The sequence below is a fragment of the Homo sapiens genome, chromosome X (assembly GCF_000001405.40).
Source record: "Homo sapiens chromosome X, GRCh38.p14 Primary Assembly".
Classification (NCBI taxonomy): domain Eukaryota; kingdom Metazoa; phylum Chordata; class Mammalia; order Primates; family Hominidae; genus Homo; species Homo sapiens.
Window position 1 is genome coordinate 40,572,332 of NC_000023.11, and position 8,621 is coordinate 40,580,952.

Below are 8,621 nucleotides of genomic sequence, written 5' to 3' on the forward strand. Positions count from 1 at the left end.
TCAAGACACAGAACATTACCGGAACCCCAGACAGTTCCCTTATGCCCTTCAAGTCAGCCTCCCTCACCTTCAGAGATAATTAATATTCTGACTTCTATTACCATAGATTCAGAAGACACTCTGCATTTGATTAGGTTTTTTCAGGGGAGTTGGGAAGAACTATCCCAAAGTCACTGAAGTCAGTATCCAGTGTCTCAATGAGATGAAGTGCCCACTAAAACTTGGAAATAGGTTTGTCCTCTGCCTCAGTCGGGGTTTAGTCAGGAAAACAAGATATATCAAGTAAGGCCAGGCTCGGTGGCTCACACCTGTAATACCAGCACTTTAGGAGGCCAAGGAGGGTGGATTGCTAGAGCCCGAGAGTTTGAGACCAGCCTGGGCAACAAAGTGAGACCCCCCATCTCTAATTTAAAAAAAAATCTCAGGCCAGGCGCGGTGGCTCACACCTGTAATCCCAGCACTTTGGGAGGCTGAGGCAGGTGGATCACCTGAGGTCAGAAGTTCAAGACCAGCCTGATCAACATGGTGAAACCCCGCCTCTACTAAAAATACAAAAATTAGCCCGTCAGCTGAGGCAGGAGAATCGCTTGAACCTGGGAGGTGGAGGTTGTAGTGAGCCGAGATCGCACCATTGCACTTCAGCCTGGGCAACAAGAGTGAAACTCTGTCTTAAAAAAAAAAAAAATCAAGCCAGGCGCAGTGGCTAACACCTGTAATCCCAGCACTTTGGGAAGCCAAGGCAGGTAGACCACTTGAGGCCAAGAGTTTCAGACCAGCCTGGCCAACATGGCAGAAACCCTGTCTCTACTAAAACATACAAAAATTAGCTGGGCATGGTGGCACACACCTGTAATCCCAGCTACTGGGGAGGCGGAGGCTGCAGTGAGCCGGGATCATGCCACTGCACACCAGCCTGGGTGACAGAGCGAGCCTCTGTCACAAAAAAAAAAAAAATGCTGACAGATCTTAAGAAAAGGATGTACTCATCAGAAGGTGAGGTTTGTCAGTGGAAGTATATAGGGAGCCTGAGAAAAGAATAAGGATAAGAATAAGAATAAGAATAAGAATAAGAATAAGCAAGCAGTGTCCAGATGACAACATGCTCATTTTAGCCAAAAATATTTTGGTTACAAGTCCCCAGACACCCAATCAAACCAGCTGATGCAAAAGAGAAGGTTGACATCACATCCATTAGGATGGCTACTATCAAAAAAAAAAAAAAAAAAAAAGGAAAGAAAAGAAAAGAAAAAAAAACTCAGAAAATAGCAAGTGTTGCTGAGGATGTGACAAAATGAAAACCCTTGTGCACTGCTGATGGGATTGTAAAATGGTGCAGCCTCTAAGGAAAATAATATGGCAGTTCCTCAAACAATTAAAAACAGACTTACCACATGCTATGGTTTAAATGCGTCCCCTAAAGTTGATGCCTTGGAAACTTAATCCCCAATGCAACAGTGTTGAGAGCTGGGACCTTTAAGAGGTGATTAGGTCATGAGAACTCTGCCTTCATGAATGGATTAATGTTGTTATTGAGAGAGTGAGTTAATTATTTCAAGAGTGGGCTTGTTTTAAAAAGCGAGTTTGGACCTCTTTTGCTCTCTTGCTCTCTGTCTCCCTCTTGCCTTCTGCCATGGGATAGCACAGCAAAAAGGCCCTCGCCAGATGGCAGCACCTTGATATTGGACTTCCCAGCCTCCAGCACTGTAAGAAAGAAATACTTTTCTTCATAAATTACCCAGTTGGTGGTATTCTATTATAGCAACACAAAATGGCAGCTCCAGACACCATATGACCCAGCAATTCCACTCCTGGGTATATACTCAAAATAATTGAAGCAGGAGCTCAAAGAGATTTCTTTTTTTTTTTTTTTTGGAGACAGGATCTCGCTCTGTCACCCAGGCTGGAGTGCAATGGTGCAATCTCGGCTCACTGCAACCTCCGCCTCCCAGGTTCAAACGATTCTCCTACCTCAGCCTCCCAAGTAGCTGAGACTACAGGTGCCCGCCACCATGCCCAGCTAATTTTTTTTTTTTTTTGTATTTTTGGTAGAAACAGGGTTTTACCATGTTGCCCAGGCTGGTCTCGAGCTCCTGGGTCCAAGTGATCTGCCCACCTCGGCTTTTCAAAGTGCTGGGATTACAGGTGTAAGCCACCACGCCCAGCCTCAAAGAGATATTCGAACACCCATGTTCATAGCAGCATTATTCACAATAGCAAAAAGGTGGAGGGTGTCCATCCATGGATGAACGGATAAACAAAATGTGTTGTATCCCTACAACAGAATACTATTCAGTCTGAAGAAGGAAGACGATTCTGACACATGCCACAACATGAATGAACCTTGAGGACATTATGCTAAGTGGAATAAGCCAGTCACACAAAGATAAATACTGTATGATTCCACTTAGACAAAGTGTCTAGAGTAGTCAAATTCATAGAGACAGAAAGTAGATCAGTGGTTGCCAGGGTCTGGCATAATGGGGGAATGGGGAATTATTGTTTAATGGGTAGAGAGTTTCAGATTTGCAAGATGAAAGAGTTCTGGGGATGGACTGTGGTGATGGCTGCACAACAATGTGAATGTACTTAATGCCACTGAACTGTACAGTTAAAATGGTGAAGATGGTCAATTTTATGTTACCTGTATTTTATTACAATTAAAAATAATTTTTACGGAGGTGGTGGATCACCTGGGGTCAGGAATTCGAGACCAGCCTGGCCAACATGGCGAAACCCCGTCTCTACTAAAAATACAAAAATTAGTCAGGCATGGTGGCGCATGCCTATAATCCCAGCTACTCGGGAGGTTGAGGCAGGAGAATCGTTTGAACCCGGGAGGCAGATGTTGCAGTGAGCTGAGATTGCGCCATTGCACTCCAGCCTGGGCAACAGAGCGAAACTCCGTCTCAAAATATAATAATAATAATAATAATAATAATAATAATAATAATAATAACAATAATTTTTAAAGAAGAGGAGGTTGAGTTATAAGAATTCTGGGCCATCACACATAGTTCTAAATCAGGGGATGCAGCTGAGTCTCCCCACGGATGAGAAAATAATTTTAGAGCTGGCAGGAATTGCAGGCACATTTGGTCTTTCCTGTCTACTTGTCTCTGGATGTTTGCTTTGCTCCTCTCTTTCTGCAGCCCAGCTTCTCCACCTCTGAGTATGTGGCAAAAGATGGTAATTCATAGGTCTCCCTGTTCAACTGTTATACAAGAATCACTAGCATCTTTTGGCCTCAATCCCAGAATTCTAGGATAGAGAAGCCCATTGGCCCAGTCTGGGTCATGTGACCACTCCTGCTTTAGTCTGCCAGGGATGTGGACTCATAAAGTACAGACAGGGCCGGGCACAGTGGCTCATGCCTTTAATCCCAGCACTTTGGGAGGCCAAGGCGAGTGGATCACTTGAGGCCAGGAGTTCAAGACCATCCTGGCCAACATGGTGAAACCCCATCTCTACCAAAAGTACAAAAATTAGCTGGGTGTGGTGGCATGTGCCTGTAATCCTAGCTACTCAGGAGGCTGGGGCAGGAGAATCGCTTGAACCCGGGAGGCGGAGGTTGCAGTGAGCTGAGATTGCGCCACTGTACTCCAGCCTGGGCAACAGAGCAAGAGTCCGCCTCAAAAAAAAAAAAAAAAAAAAAAGGTACAGACAGGACCGTAGAGGTCATGGAAACGGTGGGAAGCTATCATAAATGGCAAGGTGTGGTCCTTGTAGTCATCCCCAATATATGGTTTATTACAGTGCCCTGTCAGTCTGAAACAAATATTCAGTCTGCTTCGTGTGTACGTTCCAGATGTGGACATGGATACAACAGAGCTTAATGCATTAAATATTTGCTCTGATTGTATACTCACCAAGTCTATTCTGACTAATTCAAAGAGTCCTATGTCACTTGCATTTTTGGAGAGAAAACACTAGCCAGGTTGACATGAATATGCAGACTACTACATACTTATATATCTCACTGTAAATGAACAAACTGCTGTTCGCAACATTAAGATCTTATGAGTTTATTATTTTGGGTTGATGTCACCCAGTTGGATTAACTCTCGGATGCTGATAGAACTGGGATTCTCAGGCTGGAAGGCCAAAGCCTGGCTTTTGCCTCATAGTGAATTCCCACAGGAGATAGCATCTCTACTATCTCTCGGAAGACAGCCATTAGCATGCCAACCACAACACTGGCCTTTCTTTGGAAACTTCCACACTCACTGAAGACATGTTTTGTAAACACAAGATTTTGCAAACATAATTTGAAACCACATACAAATAATTTCTACCAAGTCAAAAAGAAGTGCTCCTTCTCAAGACTCAAAAAAAGCAAACTAGATTTTTAAAACCTTTCTACTGGAAAATACAGCACACAAGTGAACATACAATATCAATGCTCAGAATATGGATAATCACAAAATGAACACTAGTGTGACAACCACCACCACCATTCAGAAATGACCAGCACCCCTAAATACTTCTCCATGTCTCTTTCAGACATATCTTTCTCCCCTCCACCCTGGAGGTAATCACTGTTCTAATTTTTTATGGTAACCATTTCCTTGCTTTTCTTTAAACTTTTGTCATCTATGCTGGATTCTTTAAAAATATAGTTTCTGGGTTTTTTTTTTTTTTTTTTTTTTTTTTGGAGATAGCGTTGCCCTCTGTCACCCAGGCTGGAGTGCAATGATGAGATCTTGACTTACTGCAGTCTCAACCTCCTGGGTTCAAGTGATCCTCCTGTCTCAGCCTCCCCAGTAGCTGGGACTACAGGTATGCGCTACCATGCCTGGCTAATTTTTTTTTCTTTTGAAACAGGGTCTCACTTTGTCGCCCAGGCTAAATTGCAGTGGCACAAGCTTGACTCACTGCAACCTCCGCCTCCCAGGTTCAAGCGATTCTCCCGCCTTGGCCTCCCGAGTAGCTAGGACTACAGGCACGTACCACCATACCTGGCTAATTTTTGTATTTTTTGGTAGTGATGGGGTTTCACCATGTTGACTAGGCTGGTCTTGAACTCCTGACCTCAAGTGATCCACTCGCCTAGGCCTCCCAAACTGCTGGGATTACAGGTGTGAGCCACCGCGCCCAGCCCAGACTTTCCTTGTTTTTGATGACTTCTGAGGAGCAGCAGTCAGATATTTTGTAGAATGCCCCTCTATTGGCATTTATCTGATGTTTTTCTCATGATTACACTGGGGTTATGGGTATGGGGGAGGAAGATCATAGAGGTGAAGTGCCTGCCATTATCATTGTATCACATCAAGGGCACACACTGTCAACATGACCGATCACTGTTGGTGTTGACCTTGATCACATCGCCTAGATAGTATTTGTTGGGTTTTTGCACTGCAAAGCTGCTCTCCCCTCCCCCACACCTTTCCATAGTGTATATAGTACCTTTTGAAGAACATAAATTCTTAATTTTAACTGCATGGTCTGGGAGAGGGGCATGATCTTCGCCTCCACAGGGCTCCTGGATGGGATGTCTCATTTGCAGGGATCAGCTCATGTTATCGCGCTCACTCCGGGATCACTCAGAACTCACTGCTGGACTTAATTGGGGGACGAGGGCGAGACTTAAGGAAGCAAATGGAATTATGTATTCTTTCAAATCTTGCATCTGGACCTCTAGTTTTGAAACTCAAGAGCCAAGAATTTGACATTTGTTTTCAGGTTCTCCTGAGAGTCCTCCCCTCAGGGCAACGGATGGCTGCAGTCTTGCCTATTTGGCCTGTGGGGAGGGTGGAGAAAGGCTTCTTTTAGGCTAACAAATGGGGTCATAACTTCAAATATTGTATTACCCTGCTACACACATATCCATCTCTAAATGCTTCAGTGGAAAAGTTAACCGCACATCACCAGTTGTTTACTGAGCGCTAAAGATTGAATCAGCAGGGCTGCATTCACGAAGCAGAACTGCTGACGATTCAGAATATGACCTTGAGTACATATGCCCTTCCCTAGGCTTCAATCTCTCAATCTATGAAACAAGGAGAGGGCTTCCGACAATGTTTATCTTGCTAAATTCCAAGGTTGTAGAGAACAACAATGCCCCTTTGCAACCTCAGGTGAAAAGGGCCCTTAGGTGTAAAGAATACACTATTCGCTGTTAGCTCAAAAGGGGATGTTATTTCTCAAGACATAAATGGATTGTGAAAGATTGTGAGGTTTTCTGGGGGAATGGGGGGGTGGGGACTTATTTTATATTCCAGTCTATTTACAAATTTTTTCATCTTCCTCAAATTCAAAGAAATAAGAATGTACTAGAAGTCTTAAGAACAGAAACATTCACTCCTTTCCCTGTTTCCTTAAGCTGGATGAAATGGCAGGAGGTCTGCTCCACTTTTAGCTGATTATGTCCCTAAATAAGGTTTAGATAAGTTCTTGCAGGGCCTGTGATTCAAAACCTGTTCTAAGACATGCAGGGAGATGGACAAAGAATTTTAGTTGGTGTGAAAAGATTGTGAATTTATCATGCTTAAAAATGAATTTTTAAAAATGATTAATTTTTTTCCGCCGGGAGCAGTGGCTCACGCCTGTAATCTCAGCACTTTGGGAGGCTTTAGTGGGTGGATCGCCTGAGGTCAGGAGTTCGAGACCAGCCTGGCCAACATGGTGAAACCCCGTCTCTACTAAAAATACAAAAATTAGCCGGGCGTGGTGGTTGGCGCCTGTAATCCCAACTACTTGGGAAGCTGAGGCAGGAGAATTGCTTGAACTCGGGAGTTGGAGGTTGCAGTGAGCTGAGATCGCACCACTGCACTCCAGCCTGGGCAACAAGAGGGAAACTTCGTCTCAACAACAACAAAAAAAGTGATTAATTTTTTTCGAGTCAGTCACATTAGAGTGGATGTTTTGGAGGGGTGCTTTAGACATTTTGGTTCTAATAATTTCACATGCCTGATGGAAAAATCTCTCTTCTCCCTTTCAGAGTTCTCTAAAGTCCCATTTGTACAAATTCTCCTCTAGAGGAAAAGCAAGTTTGAGAGTTTCCTGTTTCTTGACGTTAGGTGAGGAAATCGACTCTGTTCCCTAAATTTGAGAGTGGCTTTGGTAAGCATAGTGTGTTCTAGAAAGTTCAAACTATTTAGTGAGTGTTTCTCTTTTTTTGCTTTCTTTATTTTCTAATAATAAAAAGACAGGGCCTCACTATGTTATCCAGGCTGGTTTTCAACTCCTGGTGTCAAAGGATCTTCCCACCTCGGCCTCTCAAAGCGCTGGGATTACAGGTGTGAGCCACCACACCTGGCCTCGAGAGTGTCTTTCTGATTCAGTTTTCAGTTGGGCAAGGTTTTCCTAGGGTGGGTCTGCTACCTGGGGAACTCCTGGGGTCACTGTTTTTAACTCGCTCTCATTTTTTCATCCTCAGGAAACTCCAAGAAGAAAATGGGACTGGAAACTGAAGAAACAGTAAGGCATTCCCCCCCTCCCCCCCGCCAATAAGTCTGTCTTACATTTGTGCAGTAAATCATGCTCAAACGCCTTCAATGGCTTAGTGTAGGTCTCTTATGTACAATTTAAAATCCTCAATAAATGTGCCTAACTGAAAGTTTTAGCTCTGTGCCTCCTCTCTCATATAATCTCTTATTTGATTACTGATGCTTAACCTGACGGGGCTTTCTCCCCACCTTAACTACAGTTTTCACTGGAACAATCTCCCCATCTCCTATCCTTGGATATGAAATCATTTCCACCTTTCAAGGTCATCAGCTGGGGCGTCATTTTCTACCTACAGACGCTATAGTGTGTCCCTTCTTGCCTCACATCATAGGCAAAAGACTATGAACTGCGGGAGGGGAGGAGCCTGGTCTAATTACTATGTCTAGCCTTCATACATCCTCATAGAACACCTTGCCCAGATTGGAAACTGAGTGAATGGACAAATTAAGTAATTAATTAACTTTCTGTCCCATGACTCCTTGTAGATTGGAAAGTCTTTGGAGGTAGAGTTGCCAGACTTAGCGAATCAAAATATAGGATACCCAGTTATATTTGAATTTCAGATAACCAGTAATACTTCTTTTAATACAAGTATGTCCCATAAATTAATTGCGACATAATAACAAATAATCGTTGTTTACATGAAATTCAAATTTAACTGGGCGCCCTGTATTTTATCTGGCACCACTATGTGGAAGGCAGGGGTTCCCCGTTGCGCCTGGCTTCTTCCCAGTAGGTGCTCGGCGTCTGTATACTTGTTAGAGCGAAACCCCAACCAGCCCCGCCTTTCACAGCTGGCGTCCGTAGCCGGGCGGAGGCACACGACCAGGAAAGACAGACACCCTGGTTGGAGACCGTCGCTCGAGACTGGCAGAAAGATCTGCACTCGGGAGGCACCCTCACCCCGTGGGCTCCGGGACCCCTCGACTAGCTCCATCACCCATTCCGACTACCCGCCCTACGCTCCACCTCTTGACCCGTCATCACCGACCGGGGGGCGGGACTGCCCGACTTTTCAATCGCTGCCTACCATTGGTAGAACTCTCCATCCGTTACTTTAAGTCCCGCCTATCAGGCTGTCGCTTCCCAGGTTACGTCCCTTCCGTAGGCCGCGGCGTAACTGGTGATTGGTGGAGAAAGCGGCAGCTGTCCCAGCGGAAGCGACGAAGGGACGG

At 44.6% G+C, this 8,621-nt stretch overlaps 3 annotated features.

Annotated features, from left to right (window-relative positions):
• Positions 1,486-1,780: a silencer, noted in NCBI's record as "tiled region #11517; HepG2 Repressive DNase matched - State 13:Ctcf". NCBI's record gives its function as "represses a minimal TATA promoter and a strong SV40 promoter by Sharpr-MPRA in HepG2 cells {active_cell/tissue: HepG2}" and the evidence as "EXISTENCE:reporter gene assay evidence [ECO:0000049][PMID:27701403]".
• Positions 8,139-8,288: an enhancer, noted in NCBI's record as "active region_29546". NCBI's record gives its function as "activates an Ori minimal core promoter by ATAC-STARR-seq in GM12878 lymphoblastoid cells {active_cell/tissue: GM12878}" and the evidence as "EXISTENCE:reporter gene assay evidence [ECO:0000049][PMID:35858748]".
• Positions 8,339-8,548: an enhancer, noted in NCBI's record as "active region_29547". NCBI's record gives its function as "activates an Ori minimal core promoter by ATAC-STARR-seq in GM12878 lymphoblastoid cells {active_cell/tissue: GM12878}" and the evidence as "EXISTENCE:reporter gene assay evidence [ECO:0000049][PMID:35858748]".